Genomic DNA, 14937 nt, shown 5'->3' on the forward strand with positions numbered 1-14937 from the left:
TGAGGTTCAGAGAGATGATTGAGTTAGTGAGGACTGAGCCTGGCCTCAAACTCGAGTTGACTACAAGCACCTCTTCTCTGCACAGTGTTACTCATGAAAGAGACTTCCCTGCAAGACCTGGGCCTTTTACTTCAAAGGGCAAAGAGACTTATTTTTCCTTTCATGCCTTTCCATGGCCCACTCTTTCATTCTGGTTTCAGGTTGCCAGTCTGGCTGCAGTCCTCTGTCATTGGTCGGTAACACCCTGGGTCATATTCCACACTTAAAGATGGAGGTAATTGCTTCAAGATGTGGCCCTTTAAGGAGAGAATAGGTTGAAAGGCAAATTCTTTTTTTCAGCTTTAGTCAGAGCCTGAGTTTTGGAAAAAGGAAATGATGAGTTGCTCCGAGATATAAACTTTCTTTCATCTCTTAGAAGAAGTATTTGTCCTTCTGAAAAGGTTAGTGGCAGTTTTGTCCATTGATTTTTTTTCTAAACCTTTATTACCCAGTTTCATGGTCCATCACAGTAAGTAAAACAAACCACCCTCCCCCAGACCACCTCCCTCCTTATTTGCACAGGGAACCTTCAAACAATTGGGAGCAGAAGCAGAATGATGCCTGTGAAGCCTTTGCCCCTTATCCTCAGCTCGCTGCCTCCCCTCAACTCCCTCCCCATATACTGCGGTAGCTGCATGACTCCAGCAGGATTCCACCATGAAGGTCAGGAAGCCTTCAGCAGGGGGCAAGCATTGCCTGGCGAGGATGTGGGTGCTCCAGACAGCCTGGATCAGAGTTGACTCCAGTCTTGGGTGAGAATGAGATTAAGGGCTCCAAGAATGTTTTCCTTACAGGATTGACAGAATAAAGGCAGCCAGCAAAGAAAATGGAGAAGAAAAAAGAAAGGTCAGGAAAACCGAGAGCAAGGAAGATTGGGGTGGCTAGGAGTACCTTACATTGAGTGGATAAAGGGCGAGACAGTTAAGATCTGAGAAATGCAAGCTGCATCTCAAAGTTTGTACATTGGTTCCAGGACTATTTCTGTGCCCTAGTTGGTGAAGGCAGAAGCCAGGTTCAGGCAGGCAGAAATCTTGTTGAGGAGTGACACACACATACACACACATGCACCCACACACACCCACCTACTCACCCACCCATACACGCACACACACCCCCCCATACCTACTCACCCACCCATACACACAGACACACCCTCCACACACCTACTCACCCAGCCATACACACACACACCCCACACACACACCTACTCACCCACCCATCCACACACACACACCCCCACACCCATGCATTTGTCCAGCAAGAGGACATGGGAGTTGACGGTGTTAGCTTTGAGGGCAAGGTCAAGACGGAAGTTTCTTTAGAATGTCAGAAATTTGATCATGTTTATAGCCTGAGGATTGGGAGCTGATGGTGAGGGAGAGATTAAATGCCTGCCAGAGTAGATGATTGATGGCCCTAACCTAGAGTAGCACAGAGCTTGGTGGGAACTTACTCAAAGGCAGTACAGAAGTGAGGGAGAGTCCAGGACCATGTGAGCAGGAGCCATTCTGAGTTACCAGCTGGAGGGAGAAACAGGACCAGAACTCAGAGAACAGAGCCAAAGGCTGCTGGTTGACCAGGAAGTTACCGTAAGGTTTATCAAGTTGTATGGGAATGTATGAAGAGTCAGGAGACTGAGAAATAGCCAGAAATGGGAAGGTCAGTCAGGGGCAATTCAGGAGCAAATTCTGGAAGCATTGTATCCTTTGATGGGTACTTTTTATGTGCACCTGGAAGTATTCTGAACTAGGGAACAGTTTTCAAAGGTGAAAGAACCCTGCAGAAAAGATGGCAATGTACAATTGTCGCAGTTTATCCTTGGAAAGGAACTATGGGCTTGCTGTTTCTAAGACAGGGATTTAAGATATATGAATGAGAGATGATGCTAGGAAACTTTGAAATAGAACTTACATTCAGTGAACAGATGCATTTTATCTTTTCAGCAAATACGAGGAGAGATTATTTGAGGAGAAGAGGGAGACATGGTAGGGGTTTAGGGCTTGAGCAGAACAGAAAAGACTTGGAACAGTTCCTGAAAGGAGTCAGCCAGAGACAAACACAAGTTTTGCCAGGCAGTATTGGAAGATCAGCTGTAATTAGATAGCACAAATTTGTACAGAAACCAACTGGCATCATTAATTGCCTTTCACTAGCAATTTTTAAGCTGTGGAGAGTGGAATCACGACAAAAGACTAACAAATGCACATGAGGCCTGTTACAGGGATGAGATCCCATGAGGATTTTCTGCTGTGGTATGAATACAATTGGAATGACTCACCTCAAGGTACAGAGTTGATAAGGAGAACAATGTTGCTTCAAGGAAGTTGATAAACCAGGAAAATAGAGTTACTAAGTAACTAGTGGCCGCAGAAGAAATTAGAGGTTGAGTGAGCAAGTGGGACAGATGAAAGGTCAGAAGATTGTGGCCAGAGGAGAGAATTTCAGAGCTGAAGATTTTAGAAGCAAAGCAAACACATTCTGGATACACGTGAGATCCAAGTGGTGACTGTGCTACTGAGAAGCTGAACGAAATGGAAAGCAAAGCCTGTTGGAGCTGAGGTCAAAGAATGTGAAGCCAGAGTGGATACTGAATGGGAAAGTTAATAACAAGGATGTGGAAGCTATTGAGGAGACGGAGTGCGCCTAAAGTAGGTAGAAAAGCTGTTGATCAAGTCAAAAGCCTGAAGGAAGTAGGTTGGTTCCTTCGGTTTGGGGAGAATGTGGTATAAGTGAAGAGCACTGTCTTAGAATAGCAGGATAGATGCAGATGGTCGGGGGGCAAAATACTGGCTTGGAAGCAGCCCTGGAATAGGGAGCACAGTGTTCTATAAGTTGGGTTGGTGGAAGCTGAGTGGTCTCCAATTGAAATGACGGGGAAGAATGTGTAATATTGTTGAAAAAACATGATTCACTTTATGTTGGAAGTAGAAGGAGCAATTGAGGATGTAGGATAAGTTAACTCCTATTAAAGCACACATTTTAGAGATCACAGTTCATAATAGTGGCTACGGGCCTTGCTGGATCTGGAGATGGGGAAGTAGAGCTGGACTGGGATAAGTTTGTTGAAGGCTGATTTTGAGTTTAGGGACCAAAACAGTAATCATGACAGGGGCAAGGGGAAGATGATCATGAAAGGTAGAAGCACATGCTAATAGATATAAGCTAGAAGAGAATAAGTAAATGTTCTGTTATTAGTGAACTATATGAAATTAAGCAACCTCAGGTTTCTAATTAAAATGTTAGTGTGTCCAATTGTGAATGTCTGTTTGGAATGTTAGTGTGGCTAATTCAAACACTGGCATGACCAATTGGAATGGCTGTTGGAACTAGTGAAAATATTGTCTTCATCAGCTGGAACCATTGGTATGACTAATCACAACCTGGTAGTTAAAATAGGGATTTTGGCAATGATGGAAGCAGAGTAGACTCTTAGCTTTCAAAAGAGATACATTATGAAACTTTAAAAAATCACATCAAAGCAGTATTTTGAATGCTGATCAGAAGACAAAACTGCATGAATTTTTTTTTTTTTTTTTTTTTTTTTTTTTTTTTTTTTTTTTTGAGACAGAGTCTCACTGTGTCGCCCAGGCTGGAGTGCAGTGGCACGATCTCGGCTAACTGCAAGCTCTGCCTCCCAGGTTCACGCCATTCTCCTGCCTCAGCCTCCCCAGTAGCTGGGACTACAGGTGCCCACCACCACACCTGGCTAATTTTTTGTATTTTTAGTAGAGACGGGGTTTCACCATGTTCGTCAGGATGGTCTCAATCTCCTGACCTCGTGATCCGCCCGCCTCGGCCTCCCAAAGTGCTGGGATTACAGGCGTGAGCCACCGCGCCCGGCCTTTTTTTTTTTTTTTTTTAAGACAGGGTCTCACTGTCGCCTAGGCTGGAGCACTGTGGCATGATCACAGCTCACTGCAGCCTCAACCTCCCAGGTTCAATCAATCCTCCCACCTCAGCCTCTCAAGTAGCTGGAACTACTTGAGGCCCATGCCACCACGGGTGCTAATTTTTTTTTTGCGTATGTATTTTTTGTAGAGGCAGGGTTCCACTATGTTGTCTAGGCTGATCTCAAACTCCTGGGGCTCAAATGATCCACCCACCTCAGCCTCCCAAAGTGCTAGGCATGAGCCACTGTGCCCAGGCTGAGCATCACCTTAAGGTGTTCAAGTACTCAATAGTGGCTTTGTTTTATTAGTAATTGTCATGTATCTAGGCACTGGCATCTGGTAGGTATTTAAAAACATATTTGTTGAATAAAAGAATGAAGTCTCTTGGGGGATTTTTTTTTTTCCCTGAGATCTCAGTAGTCTGAAGACATTTTCTTGTGGACCTTGACCTGTGCACTTGTTCCTTTTCCCCTTTGCATTGGCAGCTGGGAAGCTCACATGTACATTATAGTCCATCTCTAGCTGTTTATAGAAGTTTATGGCATAGATTTTCTACTAACTCTGACTTTAACTTATTTTCCTACCTGCTTTAATTTTTATGATTTATTTTTTAATTTGAAATATCTATTTTGCAAACTGCCTAAACACATTTTGGGAATAAGGTAGGTAGGCAGAAGGATGGAGAACTAGAGAATGAGGTAATAAAGAAAGAGAGGGAGGTAGGGAAAGGAAAGAAGGGTAAGAGAGTAGGTGGTGTGGGGGATGATTACATCTTAAGATACTCACGTACTCAAGACTCAGAGACTCAGATAACTTATTTTATGTGCCCTCACACTCAGGGAAGAACTGCTTAAGGCCCTTTGTGGCCTGCATAGCCTTAGCACTGGGTCCTGATAGGTAGTATGTGCTCAATGAAATCTTGGCAATTTGAGTGGGCATTTCCTGGGCTCATTGAATATTTGTTGATTGCCTATTTTAGCATGTTTTTTTAAATGTCTCTTAAAATGCTTGGACTTCTTTCTCTGTTTGGGAAACTGTGATACAATAGACTAAAATGAGTTCTGGAGTCAAACAGACTTTTGTTTGAACACTAACTCTGCTTGCTGGGTGTGGTGGTTGACGCCTATAATCCCAGCACTTTGGGAGACTGAGGTGGGTGAATTACTGGAGATCAGGAGTTCAAGACCAGCCTGGCCAACATGGTGAAACCCCGTCTCTACTAAAAATACAAAATCCGCTGGGCGTGGTGGCATGCGCCTGTAATCCCGGCTACTCGGGAGGCTGAGGCAGGAGAATCGCTTGAACCTGGGAGGTGGAGGTTGTGGTGAGCCGAGATCGTGCCATTGCACTCCAGCCTGGGCAAAAAGAGCGAAACGCTGTCTCAAAAAAACAAACAAACAAACAAACAAAAATAACTCTGCTGCTGATTGGCTTGTGTCCTTGGCCAAAAGATTTATGTACTCTCTCTTGGCCTGTTTCCTCATCTGTCAAATTGGGATAATATTTATTGCCAACTCATTTGGAGGGTTTATTAAGAAGATGTATACAAAAGCACCAGCAGTCTCTGGTACAGAGGAGGCACTCAACAAATTTCAGTTCTCCATTGCATTGGACGCACTCATCTGGCTGACTCCTAGTGGCCAAGTAGCCTGTGCTCTGGCTGCAGTGCTCCACCTCTGCCTTGTGAGCCAGCTTCCAGTCTGGCTGGCCCAGGAAGAGCTGGCCTCCTTACCCCAGAGCTCGGGGAGCTCATTATGCTGAGTTGCTGGGCTTCAAGAGAGATACCCATCCCCTCAGACTAGCAGATGAACAGTTTGTTGCCTACCTTTCCCAGGTAGGCTGTTGCCCAGCCTGTTGGCCTGGGGAATCATGTATTCCAAGTCAAAAATTTCTGTCCCGTGTGGTTTGATTCATAATCTGAGGACGGTTCCAAATCTGTGACCTCATAGTGTTTGAGTCAGAGTGTTGAGATTGCCATTCTTGTGCTGAGCTTGGGTTGCCCAAGATGATACAAAATGTTCAGACCATGGCAGGATATCGTATATTTTCCTTCTGTTCATTTGGCCCATTGCTTTCCTGGTTGCTGTGTCTATTCTCCTTGCCACAACCTTTGTAGCCAGTGTCTACCATGTGCCGGGATTTTGGACCTCATAGGACATTGCCCTTTGCCAATGGAAAAATATGTTTCCCTGGACTTTAGGAAATGCTCCTGATTTTTGAGGTCCTTTATAATTCATATTACTTCTAAGTGGGTGTCTTGCCTATCATCTTTATTTTTTACCTTGTTTATGCTTATGAAGTGTTTTTATTAGTGACAGGTTTGTTGTCAAAGCCCTGGGTTATTTGGTTATAGTCTGCTACTGTTCTAGTGATGGCAGGACTAGTAATAACCTCCCTGGTCTGTCTTCACAATTGGGAAAGAACAATCTTCTTATTTACATTCCAGAGTGGCCAGATTGTAATTTTGGAACAGCCCAGGAAAGATCCATCTCACATAAGATTCCTATGTAATCATTCAACACTCTTTGCACATCTACTTTGTGTTCTAGCTCCTGTCTAGGTTCATTGCAGTGAAGTCTTGTATTGGAACATGTTGAAAACTGGGCTGAGCATTGGTTGAGCCCAGAAAGTGATCTAGAAATTTTGGCTTTGAAAAAAATATATTGTTAACTTAAGCGAGGACCTACTGCTTTGTCTTTTAAAAAATTGAGAAATTTCGTTCTTTGAAAGTATCCATTCACTTTTCTCTACATGGAAATAATGAATAATGGTCTCTATGGGCAAACACATTTGAGAAATGTAGCTCACCTTGTCTATCAAAGCACAGTGGGTGGTATTGGGGGTGCGCTATCCCTGAGTAGCCCAGCATCAGCCCAGGCCCATCCATAATAGGCCTGTGACTCTCATGTAGCAGTCTCAATTCTGTGTTGTTGAACACACAACTTAGGTGTTGCCTTATGTGCTGTAAATGAAGCCAGAGCTGTTCTTATTGCCATAGTGGTTTCTGATTTCGAGATCTGTTTTTGCTTGCAGGAGCTGCTAAGCCGCACATCTCTTGAGACCCAGAAGCTCGATCTGATGACTGAAGTGTCTGAGCTGAAGCTCAAGCTGGTTGGCATGGAGAAGGAGCAGAGAGAGCAGGAGGAGAAGCAGAGAAAAGCAGAGGTAAGGGTGAGTGTGTACTGTCCTAAGCTCAGACCTGGGAAGGCTGTCATAATGTGAATTTAGGCCATCTGGTCAACTCCCAGCCTGGAAGCTATTGGGTGCCAGAAATATCTATACACTAGAGATGCAGTGATCTGTTAATACCAAGTTATCAGGTTTTGCTGTGGCTGCAAATTTCAGCAATATCCAAACCAGCCAGTTTTGGCTCTAAGGCTTTATCTGCCCTCAAACTGCTGACAAGGATGGAAAGAGAAGCAATAGTTGGGGAAGAATAAGACAAAATGTGGAGGGACACAAGATGTCTTCTGTGAGAACCAAGGAAATGACGACGTACCGGAATGAAGTCAGCCTCCCAATAGGCCATTGACACTGGATCCAAGGAGTCTGGAAACGTTTCTTGACGTGCGTTTCACTGACCCAGATGGAACCTCGGGTGATGTGTTTCTCTTTTCCTGATGGGTCTTATGGAGCATGCCATGTGCAGGCCTTCTCTTAGAGAATGTTTTCCTAATTTTGTTTTTCAGTCTTTGTATGCCATTGGCTGGAACATGCCAGACTCTTTTTTAAATAAATGTTTAGAGAATTTTACACTCAGAGCTCCTTTGAGAGCAGGCAGCCTGTTTTAACCTTAGATAACCGTCTTCCTGTGCCTCTACCTTTAAGTTCTTCTTATATTCACACCTAGCAATGAGAGATATGAAAGAAGATAGGTTTTAGGTTTAGAAACACCTCGCTCATTTACTGACCTAACTGCTTAATAGTTCTATGAACTTCAAGCTGGCTACTTAATCTTTCTGAACTTCAATTTCTTTATCTGGTTAAAATGGATAACTGTGTGGTAAAGTCCAAATAAAATCGTGAAAGTTAAGTACCTGTCATAGTATTTGGCATTTTGTGAGCACCTGGTATGTCTTCATCTCCTTCCTTCATTTAGGCTAAAGATGGATATTGTTCCCTTCTGATAAGTGCCAGCATTAGTGCATACTGACATCTGCCATGTTTGCTGAGTAAACACACTGGTGATTAGAATATTTCTAATGTGTGAGCATGTTCCTTGCATTGCTTTTGAGAACATGTTCATTAATTAGAAGTACAGTTGCCAAAAGAAGATATCCCCAATAAGCTGAGAACAGTAGCTTGTATTGACTAAGAGTCCAGGCTGATGAATCAGATCTCCTGGCTTTAAACTGAGCTCAGTGGCTTTGTGACCTTGGTCACGTAATTTAACTTCCCAGACCTGTTTCTTCTGTAAGATGGAGGTAGTAATACTTCCAATTTCTTTGGTTATTCTGAGGAGTGAATGAGACAATGTATGTGGAACCCTTAGCATAGTAATAGTTAGCTTTTATTGATCACTTACTGATAGTATTGTTAAGCATGTTGGAAATGAAAATGTAGACATAGATACATTATTTACATATTGCAAAGTTTATACAGCCTGAAAGCTAATCTGTGTGAAGTGCTAGTTGAATTAAATGTTGAGGGAGAAGTAACTGAATTTTCTTCTGGTTTGAAGTATTTTACCAATGTTTCAACCTGCACAATTGTATGTGAACATACATTAGGACTTTGGGGGCAGAATTCCATAAACTCTGTGAGAAGGCTTAAAGTGGCAGACACTCAACTCAAAGTCACTTAAGAGAAAAAGGGAGGAGAGAGACCTATGTCACATAACTTGAAAAGTCTAGTGTTTGAAAGAATACAATATGACTAGATCCGGGTAATCTCACAGTGTCACTAGAAATTAGTCTCAGTTGTATCACCTGGTTCTGCTTTAGCCTTATTCTCAAGAAGGTTCTCCCCAGGTGGTGACAGAGATAGCCATCAGTAGCTCCGGAATGATATCCTGCCAGCCAGGCAACTTCTGCAGTCAAAGAGGTGCTTTCTCAAAGGTTCCAGCAAAAGCCTCAAGATTGCATCTCATTGGGCCACTTTGGGTCATATACCTGGTTCTACACCAGTCACCGCAGGGATCTGTGCATGAGGGGTGGGAGGTGCGAATATGAAAGTCAGCCCGTGTGTGGAAGTATACAGAGTTAGCACCAAGCTAGGATAATGCAGTCCCTTTACAGGGACATCAGAAAGGAAGGAGAGCTCCCACTTCTGGGACAAGAAGCACTAATGCAGTCATTTTACTGTTTGCTTTTTTCTTTCTTTTCTGAAGGACTATTTTTAAATCTGAATTTTTTGTTTTTGTTTTTCATCAGTCTGTTCATACATAAGGCGACGTAGACCCTGAGTGTCTGGCCTCAGTCCTACCAGATAACAGCCCTTCCCAGTTGCTAGTACAAATATTAGGTTTCCACGTGGAGGAATTCTGTAGGCTGTTCAAACCTGTGATAATCAGTGAGCAGCCACATGGCCTGAAACAAATTCCTCGTTCTTGTAATTGCACATAATCTTTGCTGGTATGCACAGAACTTCTACCTCTATTTGTGAGTGTCTGGAGCAACCAGGGGTTTAAAACCACAGGGTACTGCTTAAGCTGCACTATTGTCATGTGCATGGAGATGTTTATTTTGAGTGAGACATTTTGCTAAGGTCACCAGAGGTTGTAATTGCATGAATAAAGGGAACGCTGCTTCCCATACTATACTGCTGCTGTTTTTTCCAGTGAGTGTATTTAGCCTAAGGGCTCATTGTGTGTGGTTTGGAACAGGCAGGATTCTTTTTTTTTTCCCCCTCAGGTGTGAGATAGCCAGATCTGAAATACAGTTTCTCAGCTTAGCTCAGGCTTTATCCTCAAATTCTGTTTTATGTTTTAATGAAAAGAAGAGAATGCTTGTGGCAAGAGCATTGCCACCACAATGTCACTAGAAATTAGTCTCAGTTGTATCACTTGGTTTTAGTTCTAGTTCTAATTTTAGTTCACACTGCTCCTTCTCTGATTCTGATCATAGCCCAAGCCAGCATCTTGCTGCTTGTTTTAAGTTGTGGAAATGATTACCGACAGTCATTCTGTAAGACCTAGGGACTTGCAGGCGCAGGTTCCTTGATGGCCAGCCTTGCTCAAGAGTGAGTAGTGGCCCAGATGAGATGTGGGTGAATACTAGGTTTCCTGTTTACCTTTTCTCATCAGCCTTTTGCAATGATTCAGGGTCATATGAGGGTACTGAAGATTGGGTGAATTAGACGTATTCCTGAAAAGTAGGACTACAGAAGAGTGATTGACGTGGAAAGTAAATACCAAAATCAAGAGGATGAAGCATGAAAGAAAGAGATCCAGAGGTAAAGGAAAACCTCTGTGTGGACACAGATCAAAGCATTGCAAAGGCGTGTTGCTCAGATGGGCCTTCCCCAAGAAAGAAATCTGGCTTCTCCATGCTGTGGAGGTGCCAGCAACCTGCAGTTGGACCCCACTGTGGCAACTAGAGGGTTCTGTGAATAGCTATCAGAGCAGCCTGTTAAGAAGGGAGCAGGGACCCCAGATATGCTAGGAAGGGGAGTCAGCCCAACTGATCAGGGGTACACGTGAGCAAGAAGAGAACAGGGAAGAATCTTTAGGATTTCCTGCAGAAAATGGAAACATCTCACAGCACAAGTGATGATGCCATCATTTCTTCTTCCTTGTGGTTAGGACCCTGGGAGAAAGGGATTCTGATTTCTGAACTGAGGCAACAGAGTGATGGACTTGGAACACAGAGTGAGATCTGGGAAGATTGTGTTTGCTCAGAGATGAGCTGGCCTAATAGGAGAGTTTTTTTATTCTTGTTTTTATTTTCTTTATTTACTCATTTGCATCAGTGTAGGAAATATACTCCCACAATTCAAAAATCAAGTGTTCAAAAGGGTATATAGCAAAAGGTCTCTTTCAACACCTGTCCTCCAGTCAGCAGTCAGGAAGCAGTGCCATCAGTTTGTATCCGTCCAGAGTTATATTATGTGTGGACAAGTACATTCATGTGGATACACACAGACACACACACTTTCCCTCATTTTTATACAAATGTACACTATTCTAGACCTTTCTTTTTAAATTTAGCAGTCTTGGAGTTCTTTTTACACCAAGTATGTTTTTTAAAACTTCCTCATTCATATCTATGTCTGCATATTGTTCTACCATCCAACAATAGCCTAATTTATTTAATCAGTCGTCTCTCAGTGGACATTTAGGTGGTTTCCAAGTTTCTGCTATTACAAATAATGCTGTAGTGAATAATCTTGTATATATGTAAAGATATTGATGTGGAATTTATGGGTCAAGGAGTACATGAACTTGAAATTTTGACAGATATTTCCAAATTGCCCTCTCTAGAACATAGAGGTTATATTCCCATGAGCAATGTAATGTATATAAACTGAGCCTGAAAAAAGAAAGAACTAAGTAAAATTGTGTACAAGATTAACAGGTAAGATGGAATTGGAAACAACTGTGATTATGGGAGGTGCCCAGTAGTTTCACATAGAAAAGAACCATAAAGAAGAACTTTAATGGTTGGCAAAGTGTGATTAAAAAACAAAGTGAGCTGAGGTTAAAACACAGGACAGCAATTATAACCTCATAAATGCCACCTAGACATCATGATGTGGAACCCAGAATGGAACAGAGCTACAAAAGGGTCTGCTTTATGGGAGGGAAACAGACCTGTTAGGAGGTGGGCCAGCCCTGGAGATAAAGAATTATGAAGCTAGGCCAGGTGTGGTGGCTCATGCCTGTAATCCCAGTACTTTGGGAGGCTGAGGAGACTGGATCACTTGAGGTCAGGAGTTTGAGGTCAGCCTGGCCAACATAGTGAAACCCCATCTCTACTAAAACATACAAAAATTAGCCAGGCATGGTGGTACACACTTGTAGTCCAGCTACTTGGGAGACTGAGACATGAGAATTGCTTGAACCTGGGAGGTGGAGGTTGCAGTGAGCCGAGATCGTGCCACTGCACTCCAGCCTGGGAGACAGAGTGAGACTCCGTCTCAAAAAAAAAAAAAAAAAAGAATTATAAAGCTAAGTTGAAATGCCAAGCCTGTGGACAGACATACCAGAAAACAATGACAACACATGGCTCAGGAGAATTAAGGCAGAGTAGCCCAGAAGTTTTGGGTACACCACACACTGAGCAGAGGGATGAAAATAGATGTGTTCCTGATGCAGGTCTCCAAACTGACTGATGCACACAAGGGGCAGTAATGGAGGGAGGGGAGTAGCAACCTATTTGTTAGCTCCTAAATATCTCCCAGCTGAATTCTGAAGCATTTGAATGTTTACTTGTTTGTTTTTCTCACTTGCTTTCACTCTACTCAGAGGGTAGAAGACAAAACTAGGAAAACTGCCTTTCTAGCTCCAACATTGAAGCAAAAGGAGAAACTGGTTTATGAAGTAAAAGTGATAGGTACCTTGAGAGAAAGTGGTCATTGTTATTTGAATGTTCACGAGAGTGAGCATGGAAAAACTAGGCATAAACAGACATGCACTGTAGACTTGGGTAAATCATAACTCTGACAATTTAAAAATAAAATGGATGGGGAACTGTCGAATAGAGGAAGACCCAAGAATATTGAACTACTTAAATATAATTCTGACTGTGCAATCTCACAGATAATACCAATAAAAAGGAAGAGTTTAGAGGTCTCTTGAAAGGAAGTAGTTTTCAGAGGGGCTTCTACAAAAGGCAGAAAGGACATATGCTAAAGACAAAAGTGCACCTGCATGACCAGTGTCAGGAAGGGGACATCCGAAACTAAAGGACAATGCTGAGGACAACACAAAGCCATACACACACATACACACGCACACACAAACACCCACACACAGTTATGTTCTTAAAAAGAAAAAATGGACTTGATTCCATGGATGCCTCTGACAGATACAAAAAATTTAGGACAATAGTCCCCCAAAGTGCTTGCTATAAGTTAATTTTAAGGAATCAGGAAAATCAAATGAGTTGCTAGAAAACTGGAAATGAACCATTTCCTTCTTGATTTTCAAAATGGCAAAAGTTTGATAGATTCAGTAAATTTTAGTCTGTTGAGTTTGGGGCCAACTCTATGATGGTTTGCAAGAAGGGAGGAGACAAAGTAGGGATCCGTGTCCTCAAGGAGTGAGTCTCGTCAGATTGGCCTTATCGGTTTGGCCGGGAATGTGTCGTGTGGTAGACCAGGTAAATCCACATTTCAGTGAAGTGTTGCAAAAACGTTGCTTGAGATAATCTTGTAGACAGGATGGAGGAATAGAAGATGAATATACTGAAATAGGCATATTGATGCCTGAGTTCAGGGTTTGGGTACATATTGTCATGGATAAGTGTGATGTGTGCCATATGTCCCCTGTGCATAGGTGCTGACACGTTGGGTGTTTGGGTAAGGGGAGTCGGTGTGTGTATCATGCATATGTGGAGAGAGGACGTGTTTGTGTGTGTGCCCCAGTGTGCACCCATCTCTGCTATTGCTTCTGCTTGGATGAAGAGTTTCTTCTAGACTCCATGCCTCGGTGTTGACACAACAATATGGCACAAAGGAGCTGTTGGGGATTTGTTCGAACTGCAAGACAGGCATCTGGATGGGGCAGGCCTGAGGAAAAATGCCATGTCTTTTGGTTCTGTTGTGGAAAGTGGAGGGCCGTCGACAGTGACCACTGAGTGCCACCTGCTCCCTGCCCCATGCACACTTCCTCTGTGCTGTTCTCTTAAGGAGTTCTGCGTCTGAGAGCTGTCTGACCTGGAGTGCTTTTCTCTTCTTTCTTTTCCTTCCTACAGTCGGTTCTGAATGTGATCAGTGAGCTGCAGGAGCAGATGTGTAGGCTGCAGCTGGACATCCACAGGCAGATTCAAGAGCGCCTGTTACTCAGTAGGGACCACCCTGAGGAGGTGGCGGCCAGCGACGGTGTGGCCGAGCCCCAGCCCTGCAGCCAGGACTGTGCCTGTTGGGAGGGGTCACCTGTAGGAACCACACTTAAGTATATCAGAGCATGCGTGTGTGGGGCATTTCACTGGTGGAGGGGCTGGGGTTTCTCCTAACCAGAACAGAGTGCAGTGGCTTGGCATGGATCTGTTGTTACCTCTGGGCAGAGCTTGGACTCACTCAATCCTCTTGGGATGTGAGGTGAGCTCAGTGACCCTCACTGAGCAGGGTCTGAGCAGGTGAGGCCAACCCTCAAACAGGTGGCACTCATCTCCTTTAGGGCTGGGAATGAGGTGCACCAGGTGCTCCGAGTGATGGGGCATTTGTGCCACAGGAAGCCTCATGATTCCCCTTCTCAGGTATGTGACTCAGATACTGATTCCTCTTCCCAGGCTGGGAGATTAAACAAACTTTTGTTTCACATGATTTTTTTTTTAAGGAAAAGAAGTATTATGAAAAAGAATCCTTTCAAGTTTATGTTCAAAGAGGTTTACCCCCAGTGAAAAAATAAAATACAAGTTTTCATATGCTGTGAATAATTAAGTCATCATCTGAATTTCCAGGAAAAATCCCCCCCACATAATCACATCAGGGTGATTTTATAACAACAGGGCCATGTGGGGCTCTATCTGACTGGGATTCTGGACTTGGCTCTCCACACGGGGGTAACCTGGTCCTCTGTGACTTTGCTGATGGCAGGTGATGGCAGCTTCAGCAGAGATAACCCTATGCCTCGAAGGAGGCCTCCTGTTGAAGAGGACTTGGAAGCCCCCCAAGAAAAGACCGAGGTCACAGCAGCCATGAGTACTACAGAGGATACCCTGGCTCTGTAGGAAGTTACTATGGTCCATACTCAATTAGGGAGCCTGTTGAAAATCTAGACATAGGTGTTGCGGGAAGGGATTTGGTTGGAAAGATTTCCTGCTGCATTAAAGGACAGCGGGGAAATAGGAAAGTCAAGATGTAAATGTAGACTTGGATAGAGAAGCCTTGAGAGGGTGTTGGCGCA

General features: G+C 43.6%; 1 protein-coding gene across 32 annotated transcripts in view; it reads left to right on the forward strand.

Moving 5' to 3' along the window:
- The window catches only part of PPFIBP2 (PPFIB scaffold protein 2), a 153306-nt gene that overhangs the window by 89330 nt on the left and 49039 nt on the right, over positions 1-14937 (forward strand). For 27 of the 32 annotated variants that reach the window (NR_147792.2, XM_011520415.4, XM_047427751.1 and 24 more), the window contains one exon: positions 6963-7094. Coding sequence is in view for 31 of the 32 variants with exons in the window: in XM_011520415.4 (XP_011518717.1) it covers positions 6963-7094 (132 nt within the window). In the remaining variant the exon portion in view is untranslated. Of the gene's footprint in view, positions 1-2405; positions 2688-6962; positions 13967-14937 lie in introns of those variants that run through there. The other 5 variants (XM_006718353.3, XM_047427754.1, NM_001256569.2 and 2 more) reach the window with 3 other exon arrangements.

The sequence above is a fragment of the Homo sapiens genome, chromosome 11 (assembly GCF_000001405.40).
Source record: "Homo sapiens chromosome 11, GRCh38.p14 Primary Assembly".
Classification (NCBI taxonomy): Eukaryota; Metazoa; Chordata; class Mammalia; order Primates; family Hominidae; genus Homo; species Homo sapiens.